The 14,314-nt window shown below is 33.7% G+C and overlaps 1 long non-coding RNA gene across 1 annotated transcript in view; it reads left to right on the forward strand.

Annotated features, from left to right (window-relative positions):
* NRXN1-DT (NRXN1 divergent transcript) overlaps positions 1–14,314 on the forward strand; it is a 1,375,317-nt gene that overhangs the window by 1,025,502 nt on the left and 335,501 nt on the right. The window lies entirely within an intron of this gene.

Here is a 14,314-nt window from a genome sequence, read left to right on the forward strand (position 1 = left end):
TCAAGATATGGCTTGGCTGCTTCTAACAGCCTATGACCAAATACAGGAGCAAATACATGACCTAAATTTGAAACATCTATTTAAAAGGGACACAATATCAGTTTGGAAAATTTGCAGCCTGGCAGTATGGTAGAGAAAAAATCTAAACAGGCTGTGGAGCAACCATTTGTTAAAGAGATTAATATGAGTAAAAGTGCTAATATCCAAGACGGTAGCAAAAAGGCCTCAAAGATATTTCAGGAATCTTCTAGGTTGTCCCTGTCATCACAGGCCCAGAGGCCTAGGAGGAAAGAATGGCTTGAAGGTCTAGGTCCATGGCACCAATGACCTGTGCCACATTGGGAGGATGCTTCTCACATCTTGACTGCTACAGCTATAGCTGTGTCTCGAAGGCCCCAGGTACAGCTCAGGCTGACACTCTGGAGGGCACACCCATAAGGCTTAATGGCTTTCATGTGATATTGAGCTTGTGGGTGCACAGAATGCAAAAATGAAGGAGGCTTGGTGGCTTCCACTTAGATTTCAGAGGATATGTGAGATAGCCTGGGTGCCCAAGCACACTCTTGCTGCAGGAGTAGAGCCCTCACAGATAATCTCTACTAGGGCAATGACTAGAGAAAATATGGGTTGGCATTCCCACACAGAGTCCCCACTGGGGCACTGCCTAGTGGAGTTTTGAGAAGGAGGCTGCTGCCAGAAGTTAGAATGGTAGATATACCAGCAGCTTTCACCCTGTACCTCAAAAAGCCACAGACACTTAATTCCAACCTGTGAGGACAGCTGTGGGGGCTACAGCCTACAAAACCACAGGGGCTGAGCTGTCCAACACCTTGGGAGCCCACCACCCCTTGCAGCAATGTGCTCTAGATGTGGGCCATGGAGTCAAAAGAGATTGTTTTGGAACTTTAACATTTAGTGATATTCCTGCTAGGTTTCAAACTTGCATGGAGCCTATTGCCCTTTTCTTTTGGCCAATTTCTTCCCTTTGGAATGGTAATGTTTACCCAAGGCCTGAACTACCATTGTATTTTGAGTACATAACTTGTTTTAATTTTGCAGGCTCATAGGTAAACGGAAGTGTGTCTCAGGTGTAACTTAGGACCTTAGACTTGATGCTGGAATGGGTTAAGACTTTTGGGGACTATTGGCAGGGGATGGCTATATTTTTCCATGTGAAGAGGATGTAATATTTGGGGGCCAGCAGTGGAATAATATAGTTTGCACGTTGGTTCTTCTGCCCAAATATCATGTTGAAATGTAATTCCCAGTGGTGGAGGTGGGGCCTGGAAGGAGTGGGGCCTGGAAGGAGATGGGTCATGTGGGCAGACTACTCCTGAATTTCTTGGTGCTGTCCTTATGATAGTGAGTTCGTTCTTGTGAGATCTGGTTGTTTAAAAGTGTGTGGAACCTCCCCACTCTTTCTCTCTTACTCCTCCTTTCACCATGCTGGCTTTCTGTGGCCTTCTGCCATGATTGTATGCTTCCTGAGGCCTCACCAGAAGCAGATGCCAGCACCATGTTTCCTGTATAGCCTTCAGAACCATGAGCCAATTAAAACTTTTTTTGTTTATAAATTAGGCAGTCTCAGGTGTTTCTTTATAGCAGTGCAAGAATGGCCTAATACAAAAAACAACAAAGAAATGTAAAATAAGGCATAGTTGAAGAGAAGGGATCATTAATCATGCTTTGGAGAAGACAATCATGTTGTGTGTTCCTTTCTTGGAACATTTGTATACCTGCCAAGTTACAGTGATATGAATATGTTTCATATGGACATGCCAAACTTCTTAATGATAAAGGACTTGTTTTCTTTTTCCCTTACATCTTTTATTCTCTTTCCACTTCTCTCAACAATACACACTCTTCCTTTCTCTCTGCCTGTTACATAGTAAAGTATCTGGCACGTGACAGTTGTTCAGTTGGCTCAAGAATTAAGTAGCTAATGATTGAGGAGTACATGAGAAGAATAAAAAATTTTTTTTCTTATTTTTTTTTTTTTTTTAGACAGAGTCTCACTCTGTCACCCAGGCTGGAGTGTAGTGGCATGATCTTGGCTCACTACAACCTCCACCTCTTGGGTCCAAGTGATTCTGGTGCCTCAGCCCCCCAAGTAGCTGGGACTACAGGCATGGTGATGCCCGGCTTTTTTTGTATTTTTAGTAGAGACTGGGTTTCACCACATTGGCCAGGCTGGTCTTGAACTCCTGACCTAAGTGATTCTCCTGCCTCGACCTCCCAAAATGCTGGGATTATAGGCGTGAGCCACCACACCCAGCCAAATCTTTCTAGATTGAAACATTAAAACCCAAACCACTGTTATTCTGATCCTTATTATAAATGTTAATTTCAAGCTAAGAAGTTTGCCTGAAACTCTCATTTGGGGGTTATTTTCAGTACAGATATTGAACTTTTAATTTTTCTCTCAAGAAATTCCAGAACTTTCCTCATGTCTTCTTAACTTGCTTGTTGACAAGGTGCAATGCTTGTCATTATATCTAATAGATTATTTGTGATATCTTACTTACCTCATTTGACTTCTTATTTTGAAAGACTTCTAAAACTAAAAAGAATCCTGTGCTATCTGTAAAATGAAACATGAAAAATGCTCCTTCAGTTCAATCATCAAATCCCATGCTCTGTCTGTAACCAGAAAACTGCTAAACACACTAACCCCACCAAGATGTTAAGCGTTTACAGGTCTGTTAAGTATTTTGGGACAAAAATATTTGTTATGTTATTTTAAAAGTACTTGTGGCAGTATCCACAGGTCTTCTAAGCTTGCCTCTTCCAGTGTGATACCACTTCCTATGAGCCAGAGATAGGACTATTTGGTCTATAGTATTCTCAATGGCATTGGATCCAAGGTAGAGCCTCCATCCCAAAATTGGGACAGAAGAAGAAAGCATCTACTTCTGTGCTACATTTGCCTGGAATGTAATCTTACCAATAAATTGCTGGGGACAGTATGAGAAATGCTGTCACCTTGATCATACTAGTAGAAAGCCGTCCTACTGAGAGCTGGAGAGAGAGAAAACTCTGTGTTCTTCGCCACACCAGATTGGAGTACAGTTTCTGTATTGCTGAGTTGGGAGCACAAAGAAAGTAGGTCTCAGTTTACATACTACAGATTCTCACTGTTCTTACCAAGTTTTAGCTGATTTTCTTGTATGGATGTTTCTTCATTTGCTGCATGCACATAAGACCATTTCCAGAGACTTTAAAATGTTTGTTTTTGTTGTTTTGTTATTTTTAATTTCTACTAGTTTCACTGGGAAGTATGTCCATGGAGCTCCTCATGCTGTCATGGTGGAAGTGAAAGCCTTGAATCTAAATATGAAATTAAAAGTAACAATTATGGATGGTTATTTTAAAAAGTATTTTCTATAGAAATTACTGTAATCATAGAGCAATAAAATTGATTGAATCTCAGCATGATACTTTATGTGAAGAATAAGATTAATTCCTACTATGAAATGAAAAAAAGATGCTGAGATTTTAAACATCTGAGCTGCATTTTTAATAATTTCTCTTTCTAAATCAATGTCTTTTACCATTCATAAAAGCAATTAAAATTTTTCACTTTACTAAAATAAGTTACATTATTTCCAAAATTAAAAAAAAAACGTTTTTAAGTTTAAAATGTAAATTATAAATCAATTCATCTTTTAGGACTGGTCTGTCAAGGAGCTCCAAGCAAGGAAATTTCTTGAAAAATAAGAGAAAAGAGCATTCTGTATACTTCATGGCCTGGAGAAACTTAACTGCTTTGATTGAACAATTTAAGAAACATAAAATCATACAAATGATGTTACTTTAGGTGATCTAATATAAATTTCACATTTTAAAAGATGAGAATACTGTTTTCAAGTATGTGAAATTGTGGGTTGTTATATACAAATCTATAAATATGTTATTAACAGAATGTTAATATGTTAATATATAAATGTCCTTCATTAGCAGAATGAAGGACAAAAAACACATAAGGGCACATATGAAAAACCCACAGGTAACATTATATACTCAACAGTGGAAAACTGAAAGTTTTTCCTCAAGACCAGGAAGAAGACAAGCATTCCCACTTTCACCATTTCTGTTCAGTATAGTACCAAAAGTTTAACCAAAGCAGTTAGGCAAGAGAAAGAAATAAAAGGCATCTATATTAGAAAAAAGTTTTATTGTCTGTGTTAGCTGATGACATAATCACCCTAAAGAGTCCATCAGAAAATAGTAAGAACTAATAAGCAAATTCAGTAAAATTTCAGCATATAAAGTCAAAGAAAAATCGGTAGCATCTCTATCAGTGAACTATCAAAAAATAAATCTAGAAAAAAATCACATTTACAATAGAAAAAAACCTAAAAATGAATTTTAGGTGGAAGTAAAATATCTATACACTGAAGTTTATAAAACATTGATAAAAGATATTGAAGGCACAACTAAATAGAGATCGCCTATGTTCATGAATTAGAATATTGCTAAAATTTTCATACTACCCAAAGCAATTCCTGTTAAAATTCTAATTTGTTTAGAACCACAAAAGACCCCAAATAGCCAAAGCAATCTTGAGAAAAAAGAATAAACTGAAGGCATCACACTACCTGATTTCAAAATAAACATAAATTTATAATAACCAACACACCATTGTACAGTCATAAAGACCAACAAGTAGACTAGTGGAAGAGAATGGAGAACCCAGAAATAAATTCATCTATTTATAATCAATTAGTTTTTGACAAGATGCCAAGGACACACAATAAGGAAGACATAGTTTCTTTAACAAGTGGTGTTGAGAAAACTGGACATCCTCATCCAAAATAATAAAATTAGACTCATCTCACACCATATACAAAAATCAACTCAGAATGGATTAAGTCTCACTTATAAGACCTAAAACTGTAAAACCGCTAATAGAAAACAAAGAAAAAGCTTCATGATATTGATCTGGGCAATCATTTTTGCGTATGATCCAAAAAGCACAAGCAACATAAACAAACAGAAAAGACAAATGTGATTATATGAAATAAGACGCTTTTGCACAGAAAAAGATACAATCAACAGAGTGAAGAGACAAGCTACGACACGGGAGAAAATATTTTTAAACCATACATCTGACAAGGACTTAATATAAATTATGTGAGAAACTCAAACAACTCAACGGCAAGAAAACAAATAAAACAGTTAAAAAATGGGCAAAGGACCTGAACAGACATTTCTCAAAAGAAGGCATACAAATGACCAACAGGTAGATTTAAAAATTCTCAATATCACCAATCATCAGAGAAATGAAAATGAAAACCACAACGAGATACCTTAAACTTGTTACAATGGCTGTTATCAAAAAGACAAAAGATAAGTGTTGACAAGGATTGGAGAAAAGGGAATATTGGCACGCTGTTGGCATGTATGTAAATTAGTACAGCCATTATGGAAAACAGTATGGCAACTACTCAAAAATTTGAAATAGAACTACCATATGATTCAGCCAACTCTACTACTTGGTACATATGCAAAGGAAATAAAACCTGTATATTGAAGAGATATCTGCATTCCCATATTCATTCGGGCATTATTCACTATAGTCAATGTAATAATTGGTCAAAAGATTAATAAATTAGAAAATGTTATATATATACACATACACACACAGTGGAATACTGTTCAGCTTTAAAACAGAAGTACATCCGTGGTTTGTAACATGAATCAACCTGGAGAAAATTAAGTGAATAAGCCAGGCACAGAAAGACAAATACCGTGTGATCTTACTTTTATGTAGAATCTAAAAAAGTGAAACTAACAGAAGCAAAGAGTAGAATGTTGGTTACCAAAGGCGGGCAGATGAGGTAGTGTGTGGGTTGAGGAGATGTTGCTCAAAGGACACAAAATTTCACTTAGATAGGAGGTATAAGTTCAAGAGAGCTACTGTACAGCATGACGAGTACAATTAATAACGTATTATATTCTTGAAAATCAGTTAAAAAATAGATTTTAAGTGTTCTTGCTACAAAAGTGATACCTATGTGAGTTACTATTAGTTTGATGTAGCCATTCTGCAATGTATATATTTGAAAGCATCATGTTGTACATGATAAATACAATTTTTGTCAATTAAATAAATTAATCAACTAAGAATCATGCAGCCTGTCAAATTGCATATAAAATGACACATAATAGTCACGTCGAAACTCCCAATTCTGAGATAGTGATCTTGCTGTCATGTATTCTCATCATTCTTATTTCATATGTCAATTAAACACTCTGTCTCACACATTTGCTCATATTACATAAGTATAGCAGATCTTTACTATTTCCTTACATAGCTTTTTAAAAAATTATTTGAGTGACGTAATGTATTAGTCAGCTCTGGCTGCCTTAACAAAGTACCGTAGACTTGGTGGCTTAAACAACAGAATGAATTTTCTTACAGTTCTGGACACTGGGTGTCTATGATCAAGGTGTCAGCATAAATGATTTAAAGTGAGACCTCTCTTCCTGGCTTGCAGATGGCCATCTTAACAAGTTAGTTAAGATGCACGTATATACGAGTAACCATAACTCTTAGTAACAGGTCGCAGTTTTTTTTAATCTACAAAGGCTATTTGATTATATTATTTCTCAATAGATCTGATATATGAATTTATTGTGGACAACTCTGAATAGGAGACCAAAGGATTGTTTTATCTTTAATATTTTAAAAAAATATTTGGCCAGGCGTGGTGGCTCATGCCCGTGATTCCAGCACTTTGGGAGGCCAAGGCAAGTGGATCACCTGAGGTCAGGAGTTCGAGACCAGCCTGGCCAACATGGTGAAATCCGTCTCTGCTAAAAATACAAAATTATCCGGGCGGGCACCTGTAATCCCAGCTACTTGGTAGGCTCAGGCAGGAGAATCGCTTGAACCCAGGAGGTTGAAGTTGCAGTGAGCCAAGATTGTGCCACTGCACTGTAGACTGAGTGACAAGAATGAGACTCTGTCTCAAAAAAAAAAAAAGTTAAGTAAAGGAAAACCCAGACTATTTCAATCACAACCAAAGTATAGGTCAAAGCTTAAGAGTCCAGGGATTTTCTTTTACTTTTTTTTTTTTTTAAAAAAAAAACAACAAAAAACTAAAAAGCATATTTGTTTATGAAGGCCTTAGGCAAGGCTTGAAAAAGAATATCATTTCATTATTGATTTAAATATCTTTAGAAAGAGGTAAAAGATAAAGCCAAATTGGTAAGTTCCAACAATCTAAAAGCCTCTGAAAGCAATTTCCAGATGTTTTAGTGTAGCAAAATCTGAATTTACTCATTGAATACTAACTCATTTCCATGAGGTCTGTGACAGTTAATAAAGTTTATGGATTGACTTACTTATTTCCCAAATATGCAAAACCTGGTGCTTGAATACATATAAAACATTATGAAGAATAAATTACAAAATAAGATAGGTGAGATAATTTTTTTTCTTTTGTTGGGAGCTCGCAATAGAGTGAGGCATTTTACTGAGAAAGAGAAATAGAATAATGGGTTTCTATTGCAAAAGATCACAGAAAACTACAAAATAATGTTAAGTTTAAAAACTTGCATAGGGGATATGTTCAGGCATCAGGAGGATAGTGAGCCTTATATAGATTGTCTTTTTTGGCCTTGAATTAAGCTACTAAAGGAATAATTGCGTGGATGGCTAGTGAATAGAGAGCAGGATATCTATTCATATAATTCTTGGACAGATTTGAAGTAAACAGTGAGAATTTCCATTTCCAAAGGCTTAAAATAGAGAAAAAGGAAGTTGGTGAGTTTGGGGATCACTAGATGATAACAATATATTGAGTCTAACAGAAAATACATAGTTATGACTGTACACCAGGTTGCACATTGGGCTACATTTTAAAAGGTGGAGAATACAAAGTAAGGAACGGCAACTGAAATTCTTGTACATTGAAACTGAAAATGTAAGTAGGCTCAATCACTTTTTAAAGCTATCAAATTAGTTTGTAAAAAATGGAAGTATCAACACGATATGATCCATTCATTCCCCTTCTATGTATATATTCAGTAGAAATGCCCACCAGTGTGCCTCAAACGTCATGCACAAAATGTTCACTGCAGTAGTACTCATTTATCCTTTTGAATTTTATAATTTTCACCAGTGAACTATATAGTTATACGTATATGGACATATATACTATAATTTATACATATGTATAAATTATACTATGTATACACTACTATATATTGTAGTGTATAATATATAACTATATATATATAGTTATATATATATATATATATATATATATATATATATAAATTTATTTGCCCAAATTTTTTCAGTGAACATTTAGGTTATTTTGGGTTTTTTTTTGAAATTATAGTGAAATCGGGCCTGGCACGGTGGCTCACGCCTGTAATCCCAGCACTTTGGGAGGCCGAGGCGGGCAGATCACGAGGTCAGGAGATCGAGACCATCCTGGCTAACACGGTGAAACCCCGTCTCTACTAAAAATACAAAAAATTAGCCGGGCATGGTGGCGGGTGCCTGTAGTCCCAGCTACTCGGGAGGCTGAGGCAGGAGAATGGTGTGAACCCGGGAGGCGGGGCTTGCAGTGAGCAGAGATCGCGCCACTGCACTCCAGCCTGGGCGTCAGAGGGAGACTCCATCTCAAAAAAAAAAAAAAAAAAAAAAAAAGGAAAAACAAAGAAATTATAGTGAAATCAACAAGCATATTCACGTACAAGATGTTTTATAATATTGTTGGAATTTATGGTCTAAAAATCCTCAACTTTACTAGATATTGTCATATTTCTCTCCAAAGAGTTTGTGCCAATATATGTACCACTATTTTATGGATCTTTCTGTTTTAAATGTATTCTAATTTGAATTCATGAAAGCTGTACCTCACTGTGTTTTTTATTTCCTTGCCAGGAATAACAGATAGATTCAAAATCTCTTGGCATTTTGTTGTTATGATTTGAATTTCTATTTCTGTGATATTTTGATTCATATATTTTGCCCAAATTTTTTGTTGGATTTTTATTTATTTATATGATCAATTTACATATTCTTAATATTGATCCTTTGTTAGTCATATGTATCATAAATTTTTTTTGAGTCAAAGCTTTGCTTTTCATTACTTCAGTATGTCTTTAGTGGATAAGATTTTTATATTGTTATTATTGTAATATTATCGACTTGGATATCAGAGCTGCCTTGTTACAAAAACACAAGAACTACAGCCACGTGCCACGTAATGACATTTCGGTCAATGATGGGCAGCATATACAGTGGTGGTCCCATAAGATTATAATTGAGCATATATAGAAACCTGATACATGACACTTGATATTGGCATTGCACTTCAAGAAGGAGAAATGATTATTGATATTTAGTAATAGTGCTAGGACCTTTGGTTTGTCATATGAAAAAATACACACACACAGACACACACACACACAAACACACACCCACACACCCCTAGGTTTGTGTAAGTATGCTCTATGATGTTCATGCAATGACTAAATTGTCTAATGACACATTTCACAGAACATATCCCCATCATTAAGTGACGCATGACTGTATTTATATTTTGCTAAACAAACTGCATATTTTAGAACTTTATCACTATTTTACAATTTGATCTATAAAAGATATTTATATTTTCATTAAATTACTTACATTTTATAGTATCTCAAAACGTTTTATAGTTTTTGCTGTCATATTTTTATGTAACTTTTATTTTTTATTGCTCTTGTAGCCATTAGCCACATTATTAAACTCTCTTGTTAATTCTAATAATGGGTCTGAAGAATATCTTGGGTCTTTTTTTATGTAGATGCCATACAGAACTGTATTAAGTAAAATGTAACAGACTGTAATCTACCAATCTGAATGAATTCTAAAAATATATTAAGAAAAATAGCGCATTTCAAGGAAATAGATATATGATGCCACTTATATAACGTTTTACTGTTACGTATACATTTTATATGAAATTTAAATTTATATACAATTATATATAAATTTTATATAAATTATATAAATTGATAAATTTTATATAAAATAATGCTTTGTGAACAACCTGCATTGAGGACATTAAAAACACCAATGCTTATACTTTGTATTTCTTCAACTTGTCTTACTTGATGAATAGATGACAGACATACTTTTCTCATTGTTGGACTTAAATGCTTCAAATATTCTACCATTGATTCAATGTTTACTGCAAGTTTTAATAGACATCCTATATTAAGAAAGTGACTTTCTATTACTAGTTTGGTTAATATTAATAATCTAAAAATCTGTTGAGTTTTATCAAAGACTTCTGTTAAGCTGATAATATGGTTTATTCTTTATAACATGAATTATATCAATAGATTTTGCAAAATTAAGACATCATTGCATCACTTAGGCTTTTGTAAAAACATGTTAATGTTTTGTTCTAAATTTTATATTTAGAGTGACTACATGTACTTCCAAGTGATATTGGCTTATGATACTAATATTTATACAGCCCTAATTTGGTTTTGATATCAAGAATATATGATACTTATAACATGAATTGAGGAGTGTCTCCTCTGTTTTTATTTTCTGAAAAGGCTTACATAATATTTGCAATTCTATTTTCTATGAAAGTTTTTCAGGTATCTGTAAAAATTACACATTCATGACAGTATACTTTTTAAATAAATTTTTAAGTATGAGATAATTCTAATGGCTTATTAATTTATTGAGATTTTTGTCTGAGTCAAAAGATTTTTGTCTGGATAGGTTTTAGTTCTTAAAACATCTAGTTCATCTTTGTTTTCCAAATTATTAGCATAATATTCTTAGTATACACATAATTATTTTAATGTCTGCAATAAATGTTGCATTCTCCATTTTTGTCTTAATATTATGTACTTGTATTTTCTACATCTTTTTCTTGATTAAACATCCCAGAGGTTTGTCTGTTTTATTAACTTTTTTTTACAAGTAAACAATAGCTGATTCTCTATTGTTTATGTTTCCTGATTTTAAACAGCATTAGTAAGTTTACTTTGCAAATTGTGGTATATTAAGCTAATAAATGTAAAAGTAAAACCAGTATTTGGAATCTAGTAAGATCTTTATAAGTACTATTATTGTTATGGCTGCTGAGATTATGATTTCTTTAGGCTTTTATCTTTATTATTATTCCTTTCTATTTTTTCAGTTTTATTACTTTATTTTTATAGCTTATTTTCCATCCTCATATTCAGCACGTCTTTGAATAAAAATATATGATAAATTTATCAATTTATAGTCAAAGTGGTAAATTGTCAAAGAAGCTTCATCCTACTGGTTTTGTTACATTATATTTTCATTTTACATCATTCTGAGTATTTTATTTCACAAAATGAGCTTTCTTTTGACCTAAGATTTATCTACATTTTTAAAATATTTTCAAACATATGTCCTTTTTAAAATTTTTTAAATTGTTTCATACATTTCGATCAATAATTATACATTTGATATCTCTACAGTCAAATTTCTCTTAGGAATATTTCCAGGCTTGTTTGAGAATATACTTCTCTGGAAGGGCTTTGTTTTACTTCTGTCAGACTCCCCAAATTTCTGACAATTTATTACCATATTTTTTATTTCTCAGTTTGAATTATCACACACAGCATAAATTCATTTTCAAAATCTATTTGTGGCCTCTTCTATGGATATAATTATTAGAGGATGTTATTTTTACCATCCAAAAAAATACATAACTTTTTTTTCATTTCATTAAAAATGAAATATTTCCCCAGCAAAGGGAGACTATATGAAATTATTTCTTACAAAGTTTTTTCTTTAGAGAAGTAGTCCCCAGGATCTTGGCTTCCCATGGGAGCTGGAGCTCAACTTTCCTCCTAGTTCCTGCCAAAACTCTGGCTTCCCTATTTAAAGTAGACAGCTCTAGGCTCTAGGTCTGATGAATAGGCAAAAGTCCTTGAGGCAACTCAATTTTGCAATCTTGCTAGCATTCTGATTTTCATCTTTTCCCTCTTTTGTTTGGTCCTTACGTGTTTCCTTTTTTTTTTTATGAATATAACTATGTTCTCCAAAGGCTATTGGCCATATTTTACCCATTTTCCTAGGATTAATTATTACCTTGAGGAAATTTCAGAATATTCACTGTTAAGAGAAGTGGAAGATATTGCCTTGTTTGTGATTACAAGTATTCCTGAAAATCCAGTTGTTGACCATATATACCCATCCATTTTAACCTTAATCCTAGCCAACATCTCAATTCTCACCCTTCTCCTCTTATTTGCTGAATGGCTATCTTGTCTTACCTGTCCTCCTTTCCAGTCTCTGCAGTTTCCCAGTGATTCATTCCATCTTAATAAATGCAGGCGCCATGTCTTAAACAGCCCTCTCTGTTTCCTCCATAGTATCTACCTAGTATAATATTTTGACTAGAGTACAACTTTCAAGACATCTTAATTGATTGATTTTAAAATTTATACCAAATAATCCATCTGAAACAAAACAATTTATATGATGTAAGTTTGTTAGTGAGTTAGATTTAGGTATTTCTAATATAACTAACATGTACATTCACTCTGCTACTAGCTAGACACTGCATGACATATGAGAGCCATTTTCTCTTTAGATTAACCCTCTTTATTATAATACTACTTTCTATTCATAACCTACACTGTTTCTGACTGCTCTTGGAATTCCAGGGCACTCTCACTAGCTCTCTGTTAATTTGAACATTAACAAGGTCATCATGTAACTGAAGGGCACTAAATGGTTTTATTTATTTATTTATTTATTTATTTATTTATTTATTTATTTATTTTTGATGCAGGCTCTGAGTTAGGGGAGGGGCATGTACATTTTGAGTTAAATTCAGAGACATTGGAAATACCAAAGAGATACCCACTGTTATTTTTCACAAATGAGTTGGGCTGACAGGTTGTTTAATATCAACAGAATAATGCGTACCCTGACATTTTCAAATTGTCTAGGAACTTTGAGAACTGAATACTTCATCATGCCTTTAGTTCTTCAGTGTTCTTTTCAGAAATCTCTTCCTGCCTGAAATAAGTGTATGACATTAGATTTCCTTCTAAGAAGAGCACAAATAAGTCTCCCCTTTTAAGAATGATTTCCAGTATTCAAATCAGATAGAAATTTCAGGCAGACCTGAATATACATTTATATTTATATCAATTTAACATTTATATGTATCAGATAATTGCTTTGATAAGATGAGAATGAAGTTTAACTAAATTTTGGAGGGGATGGAAACAAACTTTATTTCCAACAACCACCTTACTTATTTGTAATGTTTAGTTTCACGAAAGCACATGCATCAAGTATACAGAACAGCTTTACTTTAGGAAACAAAATAAATGAGCTTTACTTAAGAAATGAGAGAACAATTTTTAAAAGAATGAATAGTATTTGGTTTACTGTTTTATCAAAGTATAAATGTATTAAACAAATGCCACCTTAGCATTGCATATAGTAATTAATATTGAGTGTAAGTAAATACAAACACAGTCATTTTTAAATAATTACTTGTTTTGTTGTAGCTGTTATTTTCTTACAGCTTCATCCATAGCATCAGCAACAATTATAGGTCTAATACTGTGCCAATTCAGTTACATTGTATTAGCTGGACAGCTGTTTAAGGATTTATGAAAATATTCATGCTATCATAACAGCAGTAGCTGATATATTTAATTTTTATTATCTGTAAAATTACCAGATACTCCCTGAAAATCGGTATGGAACAATTAAACTTTTAGACATTCTGGGCCATGGGTGCTGAAGAAAACATTAAGGAAGAAAAAGGCAAAATCAAATATTAGGCTTTCATTCCCTAACTTCTGTCAAAAAAAAATAATAATAAGCTCAGTCCTCATGGATCTTAACAAAGAAGTTCTAGCATGATCATAAGGTCAAACATCGCACAGTGACCTGCCTTTAAAATGTAAGACACCCGACTGGACAAGTTTTCTATACCTCTCTTCTCTGTAGTACTGACTTAGCACTTCACTCACACTGGCTTGGTTATCGGCCAACTTTTCACTAGTAAAGGCTTGCTTCTCAATTTGCCTATAATTTCCACTGTGACAGCCTTTTATCTTTTTGTAATCTCCACAGTACATAGAATGAGATCTTCAATGTCTTAATTTTAGTAACTATTTGTTGATTGATTTTATGTTTGTGTATAGTATGGGAAATATATAGTAGGCCCTCTGAGATAAATAAGAAAAAAAATATATTTAGAATAAAAATATGGTCTCTGCAATATGGACCCAAAGTGTAACGGTCATTCTGGGAAATGAACTAAATAAGATTCTATGAACAGAG

Source organism: Homo sapiens, chromosome 2 (genome assembly GCF_000001405.40).
Source record: "Homo sapiens chromosome 2, GRCh38.p14 Primary Assembly".
In the NCBI taxonomy this organism is placed as follows: domain Eukaryota; kingdom Metazoa; phylum Chordata; class Mammalia; order Primates; family Hominidae; genus Homo; species Homo sapiens.